General features: G+C 41.8%; 1 protein-coding gene across 5 annotated transcripts in view, besides 1 other annotated feature; it reads right to left on the bottom strand.

The window, feature by feature from the left end:
• The window catches only part of VWC2 (von Willebrand factor C domain containing 2), a 148,568-nt gene that overhangs the window by 110,060 nt on the left and 13,320 nt on the right, over positions 1-25,188 (bottom strand). For all 5 annotated transcript variants that reach the window (XR_001744720.2, XR_001744721.2, NR_136188.1 and 2 more), the window contains one exon: positions 9,306-9,435. Coding sequence is in view for 1 of the 5 variants with exons in the window: in NM_198570.5 (NP_940972.2) it covers positions 9,306-9,435 (130 nt within the window). In the remaining 4 variants the exon portion in view is untranslated. The remainder of the gene's footprint in view (positions 1-9,305; positions 9,436-25,188) is intronic.
• Positions 20,056-21,040: an enhancer, noted in NCBI's record as "H3K27ac hESC enhancer chr7:49830702-49831686 (GRCh37/hg19 assembly coordinates)". NCBI's record gives its function as "activates a minimal SCP1, AML or CMV promoter by ChIP-STARR-seq in primed H9 embryonic stem cells {active_cell/tissue: H9 hESC(primed)}" and the evidence as "EXISTENCE:reporter gene assay evidence [ECO:0000049][PMID:30033119]".

Genomic DNA, 25,188 nt, shown 5'->3' with positions numbered 1-25,188 from the left:
TCTTGGCTACCACTGATCAATTTTCTTCCTATATAAATTTGCCTTCACAAAATATTTCAAAGAAATAGAAGCATAAAATATGTAATCTTTTGCAACAGCTTCTGTATTTGAGGTTCACCCATGTTGTAGTATCATTAGTTCATTCCTTTTTACTGATAAACAGTATTCAGTACATGGATATACTACATTTGTGTATCCATTCACTGGTTAATGAACATTTGCATTATTTCCACTCTTTGGCCATTAATAATAATTCTAGGAATAATAATAATCTGCTAGGAACATTTGCATACATATCTTTGTGTGGAAATATGTTCTCATTTTGCTGGGATATAATCTCAGGAAGGAATAACTGGGATATACGGTAAGTTTTCTTTAACTTTTTAAGCAACTGCCAAACTGTTTTCCAAAGTAGGCGCACCACTTGACATTTCTGCCAACAATATTTTTCCATTTTCTCCACATCTTTGCCAACATCTGTACTTTCTGTCCTTTTTATTACAAACATTCTAATGGGGTACAGTAGTATTGCATTAGACTGTTCTCATACTGCTAAATATCCTAAGACTGGGTTATTTATAAAGGAAAGAGGTTTAATTGACTCACAGTTCTGTGTGGCTGGGGAGGCCTCAGGAAACTTACAATCATGGCAGAAGAGGAAACAAACATGTCCTTCTTCACATGATGGCAGCAAGGAAAAGTGCAGAGTGAAGTGGGGAGAAAGCCTCTTATAAAACCATCAGCTCTCATGGGAACTCACTATCACAAGAACAGCATCAACCCCTAGGATTCAATCACCTCCACTATTTCCCTCCCACAACATGTGGAGATTATAGGAAATACAATTCAAGATGAGATTTGGGTGTGGACACAGCCAGGTTGAGGTTGAGCATCATCTTAATTGGTTATTTGTCATTTGTTTGTCTCTTTTGCTGAACTGTCTTTCAATCCTTTGCCCATTTTTAAATAGGTTGTCTTCTTTTCAAGTTGTGTGAGTTGTTTATATACCCTGGATACAAGTCTTTTATCAGACACATGATTTACAAATGTTTTCTCAAAGTTTGTGGCTTGTATTTTCATTTTATTTGTTGTGTGTTTTGAGATGCAAAAATTTTTCATTTTGATGACAATTTATTAGTTTTTTCTTTTGTGGATTATGATTTTGATATTAATTTTAAGAAATATTTACACAACCTATAGTCATAAAGATGTTCTCCTATCTTTTTAATCTAAAAGTTACATAGTTTAAACACTCACATTTAGGTCTAAGGTTCATTTTGAGTTAATGTGTATACGGTGTAAAGTAAGGGTCTAAGTTTTATTTTGCATGTGAATATATAATTGTCCCTGCACCATTTGTTGAAAAGACTATTCTTTCCCGATTGAGGTATCTTACAACATTGGTTGAAAATAAATATGTAAAGATTTGCATACTGGATTTCTTTCGGGACTGTCAATTCTTTTCCATCGTCTATCTTTGCACCAATACCATGGTATCTTGATTATTGTGATTTTCTAATAGGTTACAAAGTGGGATAGTACAAATTTTCCAACTTTGTTCTTTTAAAAATTTCTTTTGGCTATCCTTTACATTCTGCATGAATTATAGGATCAGACTGTCAATTTCTACAAAAAACGTATGCTGGGATTTGTGTAGGAATTGTACTGAATTTATATTTTAATTTGGGAAGAACTAACATCTTGACAACATTGAGTCTTCTACTCATGAAATGTCTCTCCATTTATTTATATGTCCTTTGATTTCTTTCAGCAATATTTTGCAGCTTTTAGTATACAAATTTTGCATTGTGACATGTGTTTCTAAGTATCTATTCTTTTTGAAGCTATTCTAAATGAAATTATTTTCTTAATTTCATTTGTATTATCCATTGTATACTACAAAAATGTATATTTTTGTATATGTATCTGGTATTAATCTTTATTAGCCTCCATAGTTGTGTGTGTGAATGTGTATGCATGTGTATGTGTGTGCATGTGTATGTGTGTGTATGCACGTGTATGTGTAATTCTTGGTATTTTCACATACAGGAGCATAACATCTTCTAATAAAGGCAGTTATACTTCTTAATTTCCTTTTCCTTCCTCTTTTTCTCCTGCCTTCTCTTTCTCTCTGTATATAAGACCTCCACTACATTGATGGATGAAAGTGGTCAATATGGATATCCTTACCTTCTCCTAGATTTTAGGAGTATTGAGAGAGTATTCATAATAGCTTTAGCTGTGAATTATTCATAGTTACTCTTTATCAAATTGAGAAAGTTCCCTTTTATGCCTAGTTTGTTGAAAGCTTCAATCATAAATGAGTGTTGGATTTTTCAAATTCCTTCTTTGCATCTGTTGAGATCATATGTGGTTTTTGTTATCATTTACATTATTAATGTATTATGTTAATTGATTTTTGAGACAGTAAACCAAACCTTGCATGACTGAAATCAACTGCATTTGGTTAAAGTGTATAATTCTTTATATGGTGCTGTATTCAGATTGCTGATATTAACTCATTGTTAAGGAGATTTCCATTTATGTTCATGAAATAAATTTGTTTCTACCTTTCTTTTTTGTGGGGTGTTTTTGTCTACCTTCAGCATTGTGGTCACAACAAATGCAGAAACTAAACAGGGAAGTGTTTCCTTTGCTTCTATTTCCTGGGTGAGTTTGTAAAAGATTGGTATTATTTCTTTCTTTGAATATTTGAAAGAATTCACCAGTAAAGATATGTAGGCTTGAGCTTTTATTTGTGGGAAGCTCTTAATTATTAATTTGTATTTTATTTGTTTTAGGACAATTCAGAAATGAACTGAGTCAGTTTTGGTAATTTGTGTTTTCCTAGGAATCTGTCCATTTCTTACAACTATTCTAATTTGTTGGCAAAGAGTTGTTCATAGTATTGCCTTGTAATCATTTTCATTTTTGTAGGGTTAGTAATGATGCCCCTCTTTCATTCCTGACTTGTGTCTTCTCTAATTTTTTCTTGGTTAGTTTAGTGAAAGTTTTGTCAATTTTATCAATACTGTTAAGAACCAGCTTTCAAAAACTAACTTGGTTTTATTTACTTTTTCCTAAGCTTTACTAGTTTCTATCTAATGGATTTATGCTCCTATTTTTGAGTTCCTTCTGCATGCTTTTAGTAAAATTAGCTGATCAGTTATTAGTTCCTTAAGGTAGAGGGTTACATTGCTGATTTGAGGCCTTTCTACTTTTCAGAGATAGGTCTTTAAATCTATACATTTCCTTCTAAATACTGCTTTAGCATCATCCAATAATCTATAGTGCATTCTGTTTTCATTATTAAATCAGTTCAAAGCATTTTCTAAAATCTCTCAGATTTCTTCATTGGCCCTTGGGTTATTTAAAATGTGCTGTTTAATTTCCAAATAATCTCCAATTTCCCAGATTTCCTTCTGTTGTTGATTCTAATTTAATCCTTTCAAATTCTGTTGTGTTCAAAAAAGAAACTTTATATGATTAAGTCCTTTAAATTTATTGAGACTTGTTTTATGTCTTAGCATAGGGTCAACTGTAGACAGTGTCCACCTGCACTTGGCAAAAATGAGTATTCTTCAGTGGATGGGTGGTATATTGTACATATATGTCAGATCAAGTTCACTAGTGCCATTCAAGTCTTCTATATTATTGTTCATTTTCTGTCTAGATTTTCTAGGAATTATTTAATGGTTTATCAGAATTTGCAACTACAATTACTTAAGCCTCTATTTCTCCTTTGAATTCTATCAATTTTTACTTCATGTATTTTGGGGCTCTGTTGTTAAGTACATGTATGTATATAATTTTACTTGCCTTCTATCAGTATCCTGACAGTTGTTCCTCTGTTCCTCCTTGACTGCCTTTTAAAATTAGATATACAATTCTTTCATGTGCCATGTTTAATTCCTTTATTAATTTTCTTAGTGATTGTTCTAGGAATAACAAAATGCATCTTAAGTGATCACAATCTATGTCAGGTTAATACTAATTTAATTCCAGCAGAACAGGAAGTTCTTTTTTTCTATTTTTTTATTTTTTCTCTCATATATGCACCAAGAACAGGACCTGTCATGGAAACGCAATGTTACAGAAATAATGAAGGCAGCCCACTACCTAAAACTCAGTAAGAAAACTCATCTTGCTGACCAGAGGAATTGGGAAAATGGTAATTGATGTACACAGAAAGTTGGGAATCTCTCCTTATACTTTTCTCTCTTTTGTATCTCTCTGCTTTATTTGGATGTGTTGGTATTATTTAAATAGATATTAGTTAATTATACATATTGCAAATATTTTCTCAAAACATGTGGGCTATATTGTGCTTGTTTAATAGTGTTTGGTGAACAAAGATTCTGAATTTTAAAAAGTTCAATTTGTAAATTATTTCCTTATGTTTAGTGCTTTTAATGTTCTTTTAACCTTTGCATACTCAAAGTGATAAAGCTGTTCTATGTTTTCCTCTAAAAGCATTATTGTTTTAGCCTTCATATTTAAATCAGCAATCTGTTTGGAAATGATTTTTTGTCAAATGTGAGGTAGCAATCATGATCTCTTTTATCTCCATACTGCTATTCAGTTGGTCTAGCACAATTCACTGGAAAGATTACTCCTTTCCCACTGTCCTGTGATGTCAGGTTAGTCACACAGCTGGTGGTCTTACATGCACAGGCCTTTTCTGACTTTGTCCTGTTCCATTTGTCAGTCTTTCTTTGGGACCAAACCACAACGGGCTAATTACTATCTCTTGGAGTGAGTCTAAATATTTGTACATTTTCCAGCTTTGTTGTTCCTCTTGGATATTTCTCAAGCCAGTCTTTAGCTTTTGTATACCATTTGGATTTTAGAATCAGTTTGATAATTGCTACAGAAAACCATTGGATTTTTGGCTAGAATTTTGTACTGAATCAATAGATTACTTTGAAGCAGACTCACATCTTTGTGTTATTGAGTCTTTCAATCATGAACATGATATATCCCTCCTTTTACTTAGGTCTTCTTTAATTTCTCTCAATAAAGATTCATGTTTTTTAAGTATGGAGACTTTTCACAATTTTGTTAGATTTACTTCCAAAAGTATTTGATTTGTATGATGTTATTTGAAACTCTAGTTTTTAATTCACTTCTATTTCTTTCTGGTATACAGAAATACAGCTGATTTTCAAACACTGATCTTGCTAAACATCCTTGTTAAAATCAACTGTTCATTTTGATATTTGTAAATTCCTTTATTTTTTATGGGCACAATCACGTAATCTGTAAATAATCACAGAGAATTTTCATAAAATTTGTATTATTTCCTTGGTAAGAATTTTGGAAGGATTCAATGGTGAGACCACATAGGAGCAGGCTTTTCTTTGTGAGAGGATCTTGATATGACCACACACACACGCACACACACACACAAACACACACACACACACCATTCCGTTTTGTCTAACCCACTGCATGACATTTACTACCATCTTATCCTACTCTATGAAATACATAGGAAAACAAACAAAACTCTGCCTAATTCTCAGTCAGTGCTTCTTACATATTTTCCCATGAACGTATGTTTAATAATTTGACGTCTCAGTGTTTATCTTTAAAGTGTCATAAATGTTTTTCACTTTCCTCCAAAAAATGTTTTCCTGTAAAAATAAAGCTGCAAATAATAATCATCAGGTGGCAGTAATACTTCAGGGAGATATACAACCTTTATATCCAGTGGCTTTGTGCTTTTGGCATATGTCGTATCCTCCCTTGGATACCATATTCCACCTTTGAGAAGCACAGCTAATTCTGACAAAGTCCTCATATTTCAACACCAATGTCCTACTTTTATCATTTTTCTTCTTTGGATCCATAAAGTAAGATGACATGTATACTTGCAGAATGGAGGTCTTCTGATCGCTAATGGGAGCCTAGTGCCTACTTAATGCAGACAAGCATGTCTAAAACTAAGGGGTTTGATCGGAATGGGTGCTGTGCACCTATCACCAGAGAAAAGCTGAATAGTTGAAAGTCAAATAACACTCACTGTTTGTATCATTGTGGGGGGGTGGAATTTAAAAACAAATAATGCCATGCAACATCCATTTTATCAAAAGAAAAACACTGGGAGATTGATCTGCACAAGTCAACAAAGTGAATATATTAAAGTACATTTGATTTGTGATCATTTATTTATATTCAAGGCATTCTTGGTTTCCAACTTCTGCTCCTTTGATGCAAGTGACTTTGGCAGCTAGCAACTGAACTGTAATTTTCCTTCTGTCGGAGAAAGAGCTATTTAATGCTACAGGTCAAGACATGCCAGAGTGAGGAGTAAAGGCTGGTCTACGGAGATCAAGAGTTAAAACCTTCATATTTCATCCAAGATAAGTCTATCCAAGCTTTTAATTTCATATAAAGCATTCATTTCTGATGTCCTCTAATCTGTGATATATCAAACATATAATTTTTTTACAAGAACATTGTTTATGTGGGGAGGCAGGGTTGGACTACTGTAAATTATTCATTAATCTCAGTCAGTTATTATAGAGCATTTGTTTTTCATAGAAACTGTTTTCATTTTTCAAGCAGCTCTCTTTTACTAAGAATTTCAAACCCCATTTTCCCTGTCAAGGTCAGAATACCCTATAACTAGAGACAGCTGAAAGCCAAGCTCTATCTGGTGAATAAAAGAAATGTAATTGTATGTGCATGATTAGATACATTTAAATTTATTTCCAGTTATACTCCCCAAAATAAGTTGTTGATGTTTTGATATAACTGCATCAAGCCTTATAATAGAAGTCTTTCTGTAATATAAATCTAGCTTTAAAAAACATATTCATCTCCCTTCTAAAAATCTCTAATGGGCCACCACAAAATCTTGCCTTATTCCATCCCATACTGCCTCTCAAAATATAGAGTTAAAGGGTCAACATTTAGAAGTTTACCATCAGGACAACAACCATCTCCCAAAACCATCAATGCAATATTAAAACAAACTGTGAATCTCTGGGTATATAATATTTATAAAGTGTTTAGTTTTTGTACATTTTTTTACTCAAAAATATAACTATATCTTAAATGAAAAAATTGAACACAGAAATAAATTACTTCTTTGTAAATTTAACATTTCTGCACACTTTTAAGTATTAATTCAAGTAACTGCTCAATGTAGTTCTCTGACTGTATGCTCTAAGAAGGATAAATCCTAAGGGCAAAAGAAAAACTCTAAAAAAATCTTGAACACTATTCAGTAGGTTTCAGGTTGGTGGTAGTCTCAATAGAATTTGTGCCATGTGTCTTATGGGAAAGAAAAAATAAGTAAATATATTGATGGTGTTGGGTTATGTATATAGAGAGATGGGGCAGGAGAGAACCAAAGACAGAGGGCCAAAGAAAGAGACAAAGCAAATACGGCAACGTGTTAGCAACAGGTGTAGCTAAAGGTATACAATTGTTCACTGGACAGTTATTTCAACTTTTCTGTAGGTTTGAAATTTCTCTAAAAGCAAGAAAAAAAAATCCAGGGGTTGAAATCCTGTCTTCTCACCTATTGTTAACACTCAAGCTAGGATTCCCGGCTATCTAATGCCAAGACTTAGTCTATAATCAAAATTTACAGGAAAAACATGGAATATCTTGGGTAGTTAAGACGCCAAATATTTAAGCAACCCATATTTAAGCCATTCACTAAACCCCTTGACGCAGTGAGAGTTGTTGTCGTCCAGTACCCCCGACATGCAGGGCACATGGCCTGAGCGCCAGCCCTCAGCTCTCCCAGCAGACCAGAGGCGCTCACTCGGGCTCCTCAGCGGGTGTGCTGAAAGCCACACCGAGACTCTGCCAGATTCTCCATCTGCCTCTCCTTCCCCAATCCCAGAGTCTTCTTCCCCCTTTATTAGTGTTAATTAGTGGTAATTAACACTAGTAGAGTAAACTGTATTGATTTCCCTCCATCTCACAGCTGGTGTCTCAACATCATTTTTTTTTTTAAAAAAAAAACACACTCCATGCTCAAAGTCCCCCTCGTTCTTGTCTAATGGAATCCTACCTCAGGATTTCTTCATAATTAACATGCACAAGAGACCAGCCAACCCTATATAAAGTACACTCTGTGACATCTTTGTTTTAACACTGTCCACTTGCCTTTGGAGGACTGGATGTACTATGCTACAATGATTATGACATTCCTAACACAGTCATCTTGTTCTTTCAGGTCTATCCTTCAACAGCAACATCATTCCCTCTTCCAATTATTTACCTCAAGAGTTTTACAATGTGTTGTAGTAAAATCTGGATATGTACAGGTACGTGGTCGAAGGTACCCATGGAACCTCATGGCCCGCACAATTTCGACTGTCATGACAGACTCTGGGAATTGTCTGAGCACCATGACCACCCCTGTGTCACCATCCACCAACACATGCCTGCCACATACCAAACCCATGCCACACAGCTATCAAGCCTCGGTCCAGCAACCCACATGAACGGCCGACAGCATCACAAGTTAGCTCTGAATGCTCTCAACCAGGGGTCCCCACAGCATACCCTGGGCAACATCCAGAAAGCCCAGTCGCTCCTGTCAGCGAGGCCACTCAGATCCTTGTAGACTCCGGCTGTGTCCCCTCTGTCCGCTGTTTCCCAAGCTCTGCTCAGCCTCTTGTCAAACTGCCCTCCGGGCCATAATTCTCAGGCCCAGCCAGCCTGGGTATGCACTCTTGTCAAAAACCGTCTTATAGTGTAATGCCCTCAGTACCTCAGGTACAGAGTAATCATCGTTTGTCAGGATGAGGAAACACTCTCCCATGACAAATTAGGATCAAGGACATCCTGCCACTTCATTTTCATAAAGTAAGCAAGGCTTCTGATCTACCAGGGGCTCTCACTGGGAATAGGAAGGGACTCTCTTCCTGCCTAATTTGCTTATGAAAAATATTCAATTATGTTCCAAGTTTCATTCACTTAGTAATGAAAAGTAAATGAGCCCAACCAGTGTGTTTAATGTGTCTTGGAAAGATAGAAACAGCTTTGCAAGAACAAACAAAGTTAAATTAAAATAAGTGACTCTCCTCAAAGGTGGAAATTGAATTTCTCCCCAAAGAACTTCTTAACATCCATAAAACATGGTGCTGATGCCAGTAAGAGAGAGAAGGCCTTGCTACAGAACCACTGTGGCTGAAAGATTACACACGTGTGTACGCATGTGTATTGATACATAGGATGAAACTCACGTATCCGTATGTGTCCCGTCTACCATGAAGCAGCACATGGGTTGTGCATCAGGGTGGGAGGTGCACCCCGTCACCAACGGGGATCTCACATACCATTTTTGCAGATGGGACAGCACTGATCAGGCTCGTACACAGGGTCCACACACTCCGTCTGGGGACACGCTGACACTGTGCATAGCACCTCACCGTTGGCTTCACAGCGACACCTCTCGCATGGAGACACCTGAAACACAAGCCCACAATCAGCACTTTAGCCTGCTGTCATGTTTATCCTACAGGGTCATATATATTTTTTTGAAATGGAGTCTCGCTCTGTCGCTCACACTGGAGTGCAGTGGTGCGATCTCGGCTCACCGCAACCTCTGTTTCCCGAGTTCAAGCGATTCTGCTGCCTCAGCCTCCTGAGTAGCTGGGATTACAGGCACCCACCACTATGCCTGGCTAATTTATGTGTTTTTTATAGAGATGGGGTTTAACCATGTTGGCCAGGCTGGTCTTGAACTCCTGACCTCAAGTGATCTGCCCGCCTCAGCCTCCCAAAGTGCTGGGATTACAGGAGTGAGCCTGGCCCTACAGGGTCATACTTTTCTTTCCCTAAACTTTCTGCGAAGACACCTAAGTGTTTTAGGAATGTTTAAAAAATGATCCAGCCCAGTGGTTTTCAGAGTGTGGACACAGGCATGCTGGGTGTTTGGTGAGTTGTCTTAGGTGCAAACGCACAGGACGGGCCACAGGGCTATGATGTTCCCTCTCCTGTCCAGCCAGAGCCACTGTTTAATTTGTGGTCTGCATATTGGGTTTCTTATTAAACTTTTTTTTGAAGAAATGTTTTTCATCTCTTTAAAAATTAAACAAATAAAAACTTGCTGCTGAGTTCTTGCCCATCCCCTCACCACGTAGGTGAATCCCTTGTCTATAACCCTGTCAAGTCACCACCCAGACTCACATGGAACACTCCCAGTGTTTCCAGTTACGAAGACACTGGAATAGGAAAGGGGAAAGGGGTGAAGGAGGAGAAACAGGGTGGCATCCAAGCGGGGCCAAGGGCCGGGAGCTCTATGAATATTCCCTCACTGAACTTTTACAGCAGCGCTAAAATACACGTACTCAAATTACTGACCCTTTGTACTAACAGGAAACTGAGACTCAGAGGTGTTAGGCAACATGCCATGGGCATGTCTGTCCTGTGAGCACAAGGTCCTCTTCCACTGAGGGCTCCTGACTGCGAGTCCATGGTGATTCCAATTTCCTCCAGGTCATTCTGCCCACTATCCAGCATCACGATGCTCTGTTAGAAACCAAGCTTCCATTTGCCTCTCTCTACTTTCCAGCCATGGGCTCATACTCTGCCTTCTTGAGCTATCCAAATCAAGCATACCAGCCATTCCCAAGAAAGCTGTACGTGGCTAACGGGACCCTCCATGGTCACTCACACAGGGCATGGTGATTTATCTCCTGGTTACCACCAATGGAGTGATTTTTGATCTGGCTGACCCAGGACAAAGCAGGAAGAGCATATGCAGACCCAGCCATCAGAAGCAAAACTGGGAAGTGGGGATACTCACTAGAAAGACCATGGAAATGGGGGACATGGAAATGGGTCGTATCAAGCTGAGTTCCTGCTTTGCCAGGGGCAGGGAGACCCCAGTTGAGTTGTGTGCCCCACGTCCATGATACAAATACCGCTTGTAAGGTAAAGAACATGAGTAACTCTCACAGATGCTCCCTTTGTCTATACAATGCAAACACTAAAAACTGAAATCTCCACTGAGTGGACTGGCTATTACGAGAAGCAAAAGCTCAACTGGAGTTTAACCATGTCTCTTTCTGAGGCACTAGACCACAGTCAACCTGCCTGGGAGTGAGGGCTAAGGAGTGTGTGTATGTGTACTTGGCCAAAAAAATGTAAAAAAGAAAGGAAACTTTGAAAAACTTTAGTGTAGCCTGAGACAAAACACTGACCTGGTTGGCAATGTAGCCTTAGAAGTTAAAATCAATCTTGAAGTAATATAAAGGCCTGTTTTTGAGATGAGTTTCTTTTGTTGTTGTTGGCACAATTAGGTTTTTTTTTTTTTTTTTTTTTTTGCTACCATAACCAGTGGTGCTCTTTATTGTTGCTGTCATCATTGTGGGTCTCATTTCCTTGTCTCCTACCAATTCCCTCATTCAGTCTGTAGCATTTTTGTCTCAAGGGGGATATATACATAGCAAGCAGAATGAGAACAGAATTCTGAGTTTTAAAAGCCAAGACCTTGAGTTGCAAGAGACATGGTTTATTGCATGTCAGAAGCCTTCAGCTGGAAGGACTCAGAGCATAAGCCCTCAAGCCCAGGTGGTGTGGATTACATGATGGAGAGCCAGAACACCCTGCCCCAGGGGAGGGGAGCACCATCCCCCTATAGAGATCAGGATAGTCAGCAAGGAGCAAGCGGGTCAGATAGTGAGGTCTGTCCTCACGAAGCAGCACAACGTGGCATCTACTCCTCACCTAGGCATACACCAGGGAGGGAATAAAAAGCACCATTTCCATTTGGGAATTTAAAAGAAGGCCAGAGCACACCCTATGTCATATCGCCGGGGAGGGCCCTGGAATACAGCAGGACCAGAGATAAAGGTCCAACTGCAACGTCAAAAAGGCTCCAGGTCCTTAGGCAGCAGGCGCTGAATCAGCCTCGTCCAGCAGCTTTCTGCATGAAGGTGCACACCTTGGCAAATGGAGCAGAGATCACTGGCCTGGAAAAAAAACACTTCTTACTGCCACTGGAGCTGAAATTTCATTGAATCCATGCCACAGAATACTGCTTAAAGGCATGCACACAGGCCAGCATGCTATTTTCTCAAAGGTTTTGTAGCTTTGTAAAAAATTTGATTGTCAGTTATATTGTCATTAAATATTTAGAAATCCTGATTCAGCCGCACTCATGTGCCCCATAACTGGGTCAAAAAGGAACTGCATATACGACGTGGTCCCATGGATTACAATGTCTTATTTTTACATATCTTTTCTATGTTTAGATACAAAAATACCATGTGTTATAACTGCTTACAGTTTTCAGGACAGTAACGTGCTGTGCAGGTTTGCAGCTTGGGAGCAATAGGCTATACCATATAACCTAGGTGTGTAATAGGATATACCATATAACCTAGGTGTGTAATAAATAGGCTACACCATCTAGATTTGTGTAAGTTCACTTTATGATGTTCACACAATGATAAAATCACCTAAGGATGCATTTCTCAGAATGCTTCCCTGTCATTTAGTGATGCATGATTGTATTTGGAGATTTGTTCACTTCTAAAAAATCAGAGTTGATGCTTAGAATTAGGATCGCCAATCAGGCCTCACCTCCTACCACCTACATCTGCCTTCACCAGCACCCATGCTGGGCTCCTATGTACTCCCATCCCAGGTTTGGGCCTGCCTCAATTCCCAGAGGAAGTGAGGCTGGTGACAGCAAGTGGCAAAGCTGTGTGAGTCCCTCAGATGCCAGCCAGGTGCCCTGCTAGTTCTGCCTGGGCAGAAGCCCTCAAGCTGGTCACCGGCCCTGAAGTCAGAGTTTCTCATCTGATAGGGACATTCCGGGACCCCTACCCAGGATCCAGGTCACATAAAAGAACCCTGCCTTCACTTGGTTTATGTTCCCATCTCCTGCAGGCGGGCTGTCCTAGGCCTGAGGCAGTTCCAATCCTAACCCATGAACCCACCTTCCAGTAAAACCTTCTTGCCTCACCATCTCAGACCACCTGCTGGGCCACTGGGCCACTTGCCAGTGTTGGGCCCTGATCACTGATCAGACTTCACCCAACTAAGCAGGTGTGCCCAGACTCAACAGATGAAAATAATGCCCTGCCCTTTTCAGCCATGCCAACCCCCTGAGCCCACTCCGCCATGCTCCTCGTTTGGTGAAGCAGTGGCCTATGCCCCCTCAATGCTGTCCTGTCTCGCTGGCTCACATTTGATAAGCTCCTACCTGTCATGGATCCAGCTCAAACGTGGCCTCCTCTGCAGAGCCATCTTTGATACCAACCTGGATGAAAATGGGCACTTTCCCTCCATTAAGACATCACTTGAGCTCAAACCTAGGCCTTGCACAGCCCTCATGTAAGGAAGGGAATGTTGTTAAAGTAGCAAAATAAAACAAACACAAACCCCAATGCCCACGTGAACTCAGCAGCCAGCTGAGGAAGATGCAGCCTCACTACATCAGGGAGGAAAAGCCACCACTGAACTCCACACGAGTCCTCCAGGGACATCTGACAGAGACCCAGCTGGATTCAGGCCAGCTCTTCCCTACACTGGCTCCAGTCCCTACACTGCCTAAGGACCCTCATTCCAACACAGGGCTCTGTTTGGTGCCCCAGGATGGCCACTGTACACTCATAAAAGCAGCTTCCTGCTCAGAGTCCTCCAGGACAATGTGCTAGTGCCTTCCACCTCCTGAGATACAGAGAGGCTGCCAAGGAGCAGATGGAAGCTGCAGCCGTGGCTCCAGCCGTGGGTTCTAGCTTTGACATGAGGCTTTAATCCCCAGTCATCAGGGCCAATCTGGCATTCTGGGTCACAGTGACCCTCTTTTAGGCTCATTTCACCAACCCATAGCTGGATCCCCACTGGCGTGGTCAGCAGGCCCAGGCAGCTGACCCAAATGTCTAGGAGTGAGGTGAAAGATTTGCCTGTCCCTTGACCTGGTCAGATACCAAGCTGCTGCTCTGACTGTAAGCACCCACCAAGCTGATGGTTCCCCACGTGCCAACTCAAGCACCATGGGCCTTTTGCCAGGCTGTGCTCTTTGTCCCACATGGAAACTAAAGGTAAGATGCCGAGCACATCATTTACTCTGCAACCAGCAGCAGGAACTTCCATGCACATTTTTTCCGATCAGATGACACAAACTTTTCTCCTCTTCTAAAGTTATCATTTTCCCAGAAGAAACTTAACTAGGGACAACCTAAGTTTAAAGCATTAGTACTTCTTATTAGCAAATCACCACCTACATTTTACATAGAATACCTTATGGCAGAAATGTCATTCTTCACAATCTTCCAAGTTTTGCATGGATAGAATTTAGATGTGTAGCCTGGAGAAACAGTTGGGCATTTGAGAAAAGAATTCATTCTCAAGGCCCCTATTGTGTGCCAGGAGTAGGGAAAAATTTGTTGGATCCAAAGAACATGGTTTCTTGGGATTGGGAGTGAGAATGAAGACATTCTCTATGTGTTCATTTATTCATTCCAGTCCTGAGGCTAGAGAGATGAATACTACTTATACCATTTTTCAGGAAGGTGAGAATACAGATAACAGCAGGGGTTGGTAAGGAAAATTAGCAACGGTGTGCACGTCTGACCTGACCCCCACAAACAGGGTCTCCAAGCTGATGCACTAATCATTCTCACTCATCCACATTGCTTTCACAGTTACCACAGTGCCTCTGTCTTAAAGACAGCAGTTAAACAGGATCTGAGAGATACACCCTCAAACCTGAAGCAAAACAATGAAGAATAATTATGTTTGTGAATATTTTTTTCCACTATGACTAGCAGAGGCTAGAGAGTAATTCCAGGCTGAATGCACTGCCCACTCATGAGCAGACAAATGGGAGGCATGAAAACCCCAGAACAATTTTCCAAGTAATTGTAATGGTTTCATAGATGGAGTTAATTTAAACATAGAGAAGAAAGAAAGTACGAGCTAAGGAACATCAGCATAGAACTTTCTCAACTACAACTACTCAGAGTTATGACTAGCAGAGGCTAGTCATAACTACATGCATAGCAGAGGCTTTATAAAGATATTAACTTGATGGCAAAGTAAAATTATTCATAGTTAGACCTTTATAATGCTCAATACTTATAGACATGTTTATATCATATGTACATAGACAGCAAGGACTGTAAAATAAATATTGAATCTATTTCTGAATAATTAAGTAGGAGTGGGTAATAGAGTTTACACACAAAACACTTCTTAAATGAAAAATGAGACCTATAAAATGATACTGCTTAAATCAAGTGGCATACATAAACTAAAGCTCTATATGATGGTAAGTGGTAGAGAGTTGGGATTCACACTCCTATATGAGTAGCATTTAAGGAGCTTTATATTGCACTACATATATTTTATGTTAGTAAACTTAAGTCCAATTAGGCATCCATCTGTAAGAAGCTTTGCCTTGTTTAATTTCATAACTGTGATTATAATCTTCATAACCATGAGAAGGACCAGGCTCTGAAATGTTACAGAAAGCAGCTTGATTTTAATGTCTTGAATGTCTTTCCACTATAGAAGGTAGGAAGTATTTTTCAGACACTACCTCCTACTCTATCCTGTCTGCAACAGCAGCAACCCTCACCATCTACCGGGATGCCTACCTACCTGGGAATGCAAACATATTTTTCTCAAATCCAGCTCAAACACATCTTTCTGTGAGAAACAAGAGATGCCTATGTTCACAATCCTGTTACCTGAATAAGGACCACCATGACATGTCTAATCTGGAGCTTGTGATTGTGAGCTGCTGGAATAGGTGCCAGGAAATCCCACTGCTGCAAAGTGCACTGGCTTTCGGCAGCTAGAGAGTAATTCCAGGCTGAATGCACATGCCCACTCATGAGCAGACAAATGGGAGGCATGAAAACCCCAGAACAATTTTCCAAGTAATTGTAATGGTTTCATAGATGGAGTTAATTTAAACATAGAGAAGAAAGAAAGTATGAGCTAAGAAACTTCAGCATAGAACTTTCTCAACTACAACTATTCAGCATAAAGTATATTCTTCTTCCCATTTTGCTATTTCTTCCATTAGTACAGATATTGCATTGATATTTTCTAACTCTCAGATTATTGGATTCTGCAATGATACAAAATAAGACTAACATGAAACCAAGGAAACACTGAAATATCGTCTGCCCCCTTCCCAGATAGGGGCCCCTACCCCCTATCTGCCTCTACCAATCCCTCCCTTCCTTGAAATTCTTTAAGTCTCTGGACCCCCTGGAGCCTGCCAAGCCTTTTGGACACAGATGATCTATCACTGAGGTTCTTAACCCCTATGTGTGCAGACAGTGTGGTGACCTAGACTCAGTGCAACTAAAGGGCCAGAGCCATCTCTCAGTCACATCTATGATGGCTACAGTAACTGGGCCAGTGCAAAATGTTGAACAAGCTCAAGAAATACTGACTGAGTCAAGAAAGAAATGGTTGGAAAGACACAAGATCTAAAACAAACTTACACAACATATTATGAAAACAGAAATAGTATCTACAACTTTGCTATAGTAACAATTGCTCAACACTTCACAAAGAGCTGCTCAAGGATTAGGCACCCAACCCTTAAGAATGGGGAATAAAGGTAAACCTTTCTATTGAGAGGGATCATTATTTGAATTACACATGTAATCCACAAAGGGAATAGAAGGCATAGATACTAAAGCAATGACTTTAAAGAAGGGACCGATGGTGTGTGAAGGCTGTGTGGAAAGTGAATAAATGCAAAGCCTGAGATCAGAAAGCGACCTTCAAGGTCCTGATTCCAGTTCAGAACCTAGGGCACATACAGCTGCACACCACACTCCACCCATTCCAGACGTCTAACTCTCTGCTCTACTCCCTCTGTCAATGTCTTCTTTAAACAGCTAAAAATGTGTAATGAATAATTGATGATTCATACTTACACAACTGACAAAAATTTTCAAATTCACATATGAAAGATACACATCCATCTTGCTGATTAGAGATTACATACACATGGGACCAGGGGCAACAATACTAAGAACAGGCCCCACAAATTGTATCAACAACCCAGCCATCCTACTCTTGATCAATTGCATAGGCTTACTACATTATCTCTCCTTGTGTTCTCAAGGAGAGATATAAAGAAATACACGAGTCACTCACCTCAAATGCTCAGTCTGGTTAGGGAGATGAGACATAAATATATGGAAGAGAAACTAACAAAATGGCTGAAAATGTTGAGCGCTAACTGAGCTACGTGCATATTGAGAGTTTTAAAGGCAGTGATGTCACTTCTGGCTGGAAGTATCTGACAGAGAACTTGGAATATGATAAGTCAGGTGGGAAGGATTGGGACAGGTAGAAAAGAGAAGAGGACCACATAGACAAGAGGATGAGGATGGAGAGGTGTCCAAAGGATGCTCCACATTCTAGACTGGCCGAACTGAACTACAACGAAGAAGTGCAACAATGGATCAGACTGGGCAGGTAGAGAGGGAAGGTACTAGGAATACAGCCTGTATACCCCAGGGAATGTGGAATGAGGTGATGAATATCCTGTGCTCAGGGTCCTTGCACCATAAGACAAGACCAACTTGGATCTACAATAACCAACAATAACCTCTTCAAACCACATGCAATATTTCTTTCTCAAGCTTCTGGGCCCAGCACCCATACATACCTGCCTGCTGAGCATACACCCTGTCTATTACAAGGGCCAAAGACAGTGCAGCTAACAGGCATGGATGCAAATTCCAACGTATTTATTGGTGTAAGCTTGGGCAAGCACTTAATATTGCTACGTCTCAATGTCCTCAACTGTGAATGCTCTATTAAGTGGCAAAAGAAGAAAATCTGAATGGTCAATTAATGTATAAAAGAACGTTCCATCTCATTAAAAATCAGAAAAATGCAAACCAAATGATAGTATTTCATGCACATTCGAGCTGCATGAAAAGAATGTCTGATAGCATCAGGTCTTGGCCAAGAGAAGGGGAACCAGAGTTCTTACATTTGCTAGCATGCAAATGGGCAAAAGGGCTTTGGTTTGGGATATACAGGAGGTTAGAATGGGAGGGTCAGGAGTGACAGAAATTCTTGCTTCTCTTCCAGTCTTCAGTTATGTCTCTCTGGGAGGAGGCATTCAAAGAAACTCTACAGCCAGCTCTGCTTAGCCCCTCTGATTAGCTCTTTGGTGTTGGCTAGTCCACAGAATGAGCGCATTTGTGCCCTCCTTTCAGAAACCTTGCAGGTACCCCTACAGGTGGGCTCTGAGTTGCTCAGACTGCTGAGGTTCAGAAATGCCCCTGGTCTACCAGCAATGTGTTGTCCATCTAGCTGCACTTCCCAGTCCAGGATGCTGATCTTGGACTCTGTGTCCCTTCTCAGTTGGTTATTAACTTTGAAGTGAAAAAATGCATGCCATTTATATGCTATCTATCAAAGACCTAAAGCCCTAAGAGTTTGCAATAGAAAAAAGTTAGAAACAATTGACCATTAAGAGAGTGGATAAACACATTGTGGTGTTAATCAGATGGAATAATAGACAGCAGTTATAAATTAATGAACAAATATGCCTGTGACAATACAGATGAATCTCAAAAACATAAACAGGAAAAAAAAGTTGCAAAAGAATATATATGGTATTATGTTGCTTCTATCAATGTCAGTCTTTGAAAACACATGTACACACAGGTGTTGCTTACAGATACAGGCTCATGAATAAAATAAGAAAATCAGTGCAGGAATATATGTAGCAACTTCACTGCACCAGCTACTTCTGAACAGAAAGGAAAGGGGACAGGATGGGATGAATGAGAGGGCAGGTTTGTTTCTATCTGTACACTTCAATTTCATTAAAAAAAAAAAGAGGGTTAGAAACAAATGTGACAAAAAAGTGGCATCCAGTGATGCCTGGACAGAGTCTGAATATTATTTAGGCATATTTGATACATTTTAAACACACATTTTAAAAAATCTCACATATGAATTTGTTCCATATCAAAGGTCATTTATGAAGTACCTGAAAAATGCCAGGAAATATTCCAAATCCCACTGATCACCTCCAACCAGTAGCCATCTGATGGAGGATTTTAGTGATGCTTTACTGGGCTGCAGCTCTTCCATAAGAAAGCAAAGACAGAGAGTGGGATAATTAGCCAATTTAAAGTTCTGTCAGGGCCTCTGGGAGCAGCTGCCAGGCATCTTAACTGTAAAGGAATAAGCACGAGCGTTGTCCCAGATCTAGAGACCCAGGTAGGCCATGAGACGTGGGAAACTTGGTCCTGGACCTCATACCTCAGCGTGCCCTGTAGCCTCAGGCAAGCCCCTGACTGCCCGACATCACAGTACCAAGATGAGATGCACAGGAGGAATCCCACGTTCCCTTCTCCCACTGAAACCCCATGAGGCTTCCCCAGGGAGGAGGCTGTGCAGTGACTCCAACATCTGGCCTCCTCCAGCCAAGCCCGAGGGAAAATGCAAAGCTGGACACAGCGCAGATGGGGAGACCTCTGGCCGCCAGGACAGGAGGCTTCCAGAGCAAGGGTAGGAAGGGTGGCCAAGGAAACAGGAGGAAAGACAGTGTATGTGGCAACAGTACAGCAATTCTCAGGAAGAGAAGCAGCTCTAGAACTGGACTGCGCCATCCCCAGCCAGTCCTTTTTCCTTCCTGAGCTTCCATGTCCTCATGTTAAAAAGGGGAAGGAGGAAGTTACCTGTTGAACCCACTGGGGTACCAATCCTCGCAGTCACTGCCTGGTCACAGGAGTGCAGAATCAAAGGTGTCTAGTGCAGCGTAAATGCACACAGCGGGAGAGGATAATCAAGCCCAATTCTGCCCCTGATTAACTGTGGGACCCTGAGCAAGTTATCTGAAACTTGTGCCTCAGTCTTTTTATCTGTAAAATGAGGATGGTTAAATTGCTGTTGGCAAAGTGCTTACAGCGGTGAGTGGCTCATGATGGACACTCCACAAGGATGAATTACAGTCGTCCGCTGGTATCCATGGGGGACTGATTCCGGGAAACAACTCGGATACTAAAATTCAAGGATGCTCAGGTCCCTTCCAGGTGGCCCTGCATATGTGGCATCTGTGGATGTGGAGGGCCAAATGTGCTAGTAGTCATGGCAGAGAGAAGGACAGTATTTTGAAGTAACGCCTGTATATTTCTTTCTCACCAGTGTTTCCCTTTGGCCCTTCCACCACTGCACCTACACAAAGAGGCTAAGCCTTGGTTTTCTAGAGAGCAGACACAAGTAAGTAGAACAAGTAACTACATAATTGCTGTGCTTTTAAGAATCATGAGGGCCAGGCTTTCCAGGAAGACAGTGGCCATTATCAGTACTTCTTGAGCTTGATTTTTACAGACTGAGAGCCAAAGTCTGGAGGTTCAATCATAGAGTGGGAAGAATTAAAGAATGTATAACAAAGGAAGGCGAAGCATCTTCTTGTCTGGAAAGAAGGACCCGAGGGAGGAGGATGGAATGAGGGCAAAGCCAAGGGGTCAGATGCCACCACCCTGGCTTGAGTCAGCCTGGAGCTGGTGGAGGGGGCACTCAGAAAAATGGCCGTAGGTTTGGGAGATAACTCCTGAAAAGCTGAGTCACTTCCCAGAAGTGATCAGATTCCTGACTGCCCAAAAGGCTGGGATATCCCAACAGAGACAGAAACTTTAACAAGAACAACTGTTTTCAGCCATCAGCAAATATTGGGAGCCATGGAAGGAAAAGCAATGTTCTAAACTAAGAGGACCTCCCTGTCTGCACATACCACTTTTGTTGTATTCATTTTGACCCTGTTACATGATTATTTGGATGACCTCAGATTAAGAAGTTAGTGAAAGGCATGAATGACAAAGCAGTCTCTCCGCGTAGCCCAGGACAAGCAGCCTCCCCAAATCATTGTCACAGTTCTGTCACCAGATGGCGAAAGTGCCTTTTCTAGCTGCCCAATTTATGAAAACCTGTTTCCAGCTCACACCCTTAGGGTGCACGTAGAGGCAAGTCACGAAGTCCCTTCCATTTATACAGTGTAGTCTTACTAGCTTCTGATAACCTGTAACTGTGTGATTTCAGAGCTGGAGGAAAATGCTGAAGTGATTCCTTTCAACTCTGCTTTTTATGGAGTGAAAACACACCCACAGGTCTGGTGACTTCTTGAGGCAGGTCTCTGCCTGAACTGAAGTCTGGTCATACCACAGGGCCAGTGATAGAAAATGTTCATTAATAAGTACTCAGAATCCACAGGCATCCTGGAGCGCAAATGGCTCTGCCTGCACCTGTCAGCCCTCCTCACCACCTATAAGAAACCTGGAAAATGATGTCTTCCTTTCAGCAGTCACCTGGAACTAAACCTCTCCCCCGTCCTTGTTCAGGTTTCTTCCCTGAAACTGTCTTATCAAACTAGCACAGGACATGGCCAAATTCTCCCTCCAAACTTGACAAGCAGAAGGGCCCTTGCCACCTGGGGACTCTGGCCCTGCAGCCTGAGTCCCCGACCCCCTGAGGGCTGGGAGGTGCCCTGCCATGTGATGTCCCTTCATCAATCCAGGAAGGCACAGAAAGGCTCCCCACCTAGCTCCCTGCCCCTCTCTACTTTCTCCCTCAAAAAGAGAGCTAATTCTAATGTGAAGTGAAGTTGATCCACAAGCTACCTTCCAGCCTCCACCACAAGGATTATAGCAACAGAAACTAAGGACAGAGAGACGCTGCTGCCTGTGCCATTCAGAAAAGAATTTTTTTTTCTGTTCTGTCTTTCCACTGTCTGTCAGAGAACAGATTTGCACACAAAGGGATTTAATTAAGAACTGTCCCCAGAGGCTGTCAGTTTCTGAGTCTCAGTAAGAAGACAACTCCACATACAACACAATAGATTAAGAATACTGCAGCCTGACAATCTGAGGCAATACAGCTTTCTTCTCGGGCACCACAGACAACTTTTCCTTCTTTATGGCTTTAGCTTCAGGCAAGACCCTTGTCTACTAACATCTTTTAAATCCTCTCCTGAATAATTCCCTCACATTAATACAGATCAACAGGAACTTGCTAGGTCAATTATGCGGGGGAAAAACTAGTGGCAGGGTTTACACTTCATATTTACTTGGTTGCAAACAGCAGAACAGCTAGGAGGAGAATGAGGAAGACCTCCTTCTTTGCTGATGGTTCAGACCTGATGGGCAGTCTGGAATCTGCCAGCTTGCCTAACAGATACACAGTCAGAAAGGATGCAGCCAAACGTGCTGGCGGCCTGCACCCCCGCCTCTGCAAGGAGCCAAGGGGCCGTAGGGCCCCCCGGAGCACCAGGGCCAGTGCAGGGAGCGGCTTCTCACTTCCCACCTGGGAAGCATGGGTGACGCTGAAATCTTTGTAGAATTATTTTGTAGATAATTGGCTCATTTATAGATTCCTAAATTAAGCCCGTAAGAGAAAGAAAGTAATGTCAACTGCATCTGACCACCTGTTTGGGGAGAGAAGAAGGTTCCCTGACAAATTTTGAAAGATATTCTCTTCTTTAAAAACATTGGAAGATCAAAACCCTTTTGTTTTAAAGAATTACAGCTAAGTAATCCTTGGGAGAAAAAAGAGAGCTTAATTTTTACTTCATATATAAATGACTAAAATAATGTCTTCCTAAGAATAGACTTTTAAAAGACAGGTGTGACATGGGGATTAGTTCTCTCAGGGATGACAAATTCAAATTTCTTCAGGGACCAGTCAAGTAAGAAAATGAGGCCATGAACTAAGTGTGTAATAAGGAGTGGTGGGGACTGTGGCCAATGGGGGGAAATGTTAATGCAATGAAACCACTATGCCTACTTCATACACACACTCACACTCACACACACACACAGCCACATATACACTCACACGCACCCACACACACCTACACCCACACTCACACACCCGCTCACACTCACACTCTCACACACACCCGCTCACACACACCCACTCCCACACCTACACTCTTTCACACACTCTCCCACACTCACACACACACACCCACACTCACACATGCACCCACACACATGCTAACACACACATACAGCCACACTCACATTCTCATACATCCATTCACACACACACTACACTCTCTCAATCTCTCTCTCACACCCAAACCTACACTCTCACACACTCACGCACCCACACATACACCCACACTCACACATGCACCCACACGCTCACACTGACACACTTTCAAGCATGCACCCACACCTCACACACACATGCTCACACACACTCATGCACACACATGCACCCACACTCATATTCTCACACATGCAGGCCACACACACTCTCACACCCACACTCACTCCACACACACCCTCACACCCCCCACACACACGCTCACACACATGCTCACACACACTCATACCCACATATCCACTCTCACACGCACCCACACAGTCACACTCACCCACACTCATACACACCCTCTCTCACACCCCCACACCCACATCCACACACACATCCACACACACCCCACACCCATACATCCTCTCACACACACACACCCTCACACACCCACACTCACAGACTCTCATACCCACACATCCACACTCACACCCACACACTCACTCACACACCCACCACTCATAAGAGTGTGGATAAGTAGGTGTGGGTGTCGCACATGCCCACACTCACACACTCTCACACTTACACATACACTCACACTGTCTCACACCCACACTCACACACACTCATACACACTGTCTTACACACCCACACACTCTCTCTCACACACACACACACACACACACAGGCCAGGGGAAAACAGAACTACAGTGCTCCCGTTTGGCATTCTTTGAGATGGCAGTGACAATGCCCACTACAAGCAGGAAGTGAAGATGACCAAAGGCACCCATCAGTCTGCCTTTGCCCAAAGCTGGCCGGGCTCCAACAGCCCTGCTCGCACCCCCAACTGTAGAGTGACCCAAATGGATGCCCGTCTGGACACTGCCTGAAGTCAGGGTTTGCTTGTCTTGTTAAAGCTCCTTCAACACATCAGCTGCCAATTACCCAGGAAGTGCTGGACCACAGCCCGAGCCAGGAGTGGACAGGCACTGTGGGTTCCCATCACTGGCCCTGAATCTCTTCTTGAAGCTAAGCCTATTCAAAAGTAGGCTGAAATTAGAACAGGACACCCACTGTGGTTTCTCCGTTTGATGAAGTCCCTTTCCATGGAGTTTTAAGCTCTGGTGGAGAAGACACAGCAGTGCTCACTCACACAGAAAGGGACTCTTTGCACCCAGACATACGGCGCAATGGTCCCTGAGATCTGACCATTAAATTATATCTGTCATCCCTTGCTGTTACCTAGAAGCAAGATAAGCTGATTTTCTTAGCTTCCTGGAGAGGACTGGGAGCCCAGACATGAACTCTGCTACCAGTGGGAGGTTACCCTGAGCTGGGAGGCTGACATTAGAGCACAGTGTACCCCTCAGCTGCCTGTCTCTCTCCTGCTTCTCCTGCCCAGGCCACAGCAGCAGCCTTGTCAAAAGCCATATTCTTTTTCAACCTACCCACTCATGACATTTGTGTGTGTGACGCAGCAAAAGCACAGCGAGTGGAGGTAGAGGCGCTCGGGGCAGTTCTGCCCCACGTGAGAAAGAAAGGTGAGCATCTGGCCACCTGCTGGCTCCCTGCACATCCCAGGCTCCCCACGGGTGGGGCTTGTTTCCCTCCATGTCCCCAGAGCATAGTTGTCAACAATGCCACAGTGTCACCAGGTGGGGAGGTTTAGCTCCTGGCATATCAAGAGGAATTAATAAGAATAGTGACTTACTTGAAATTAATTTTATTATATTTCATTTGTTTCAAGCTTTCTAAAACAAAAATATTGAGCTCTCTTTTTTAAAAGCATACAGAATTTGGAAGTAAAATATAAATAAGAATTGTTTTTAAAGCTAGATATGAGGAAAGCAAAGATACATACAGAAGGGCCAATCTGTTTGGTATGGTTGAAGGTACTATTTATTTCTGATTGGCCTATTGCCCTAAGGGTACACAGAGCAGTAGGAAAGGAATCTGATTTCCAAGCATTCTGACCTTCATTACAGGAAGGGTAGGAAAAATTGCCCATGGCTGAGTAGTGAGAACTTGGTGAGTGGCTGAGAACTTGGTGGTGGGCAGTTCTGACCAGCTGGGGATGCCTCTGAAGTGTTCACCTACTTGATGATTTGGCCTAAGGCTGAGCTGGCTCCCAGTACCTGTTTTCTAAGAATATTTAAACTAAAGAGCTTCTGCACA

The sequence above is a fragment of the Homo sapiens genome, chromosome 7 (genome assembly GCF_000001405.40).
Source record: "Homo sapiens chromosome 7, GRCh38.p14 Primary Assembly".
Taxonomy (NCBI): Eukaryota; Metazoa; Chordata; class Mammalia; order Primates; family Hominidae; genus Homo; species Homo sapiens.
This window is presented reverse-complemented; position numbering and strand designations above follow the sequence as displayed.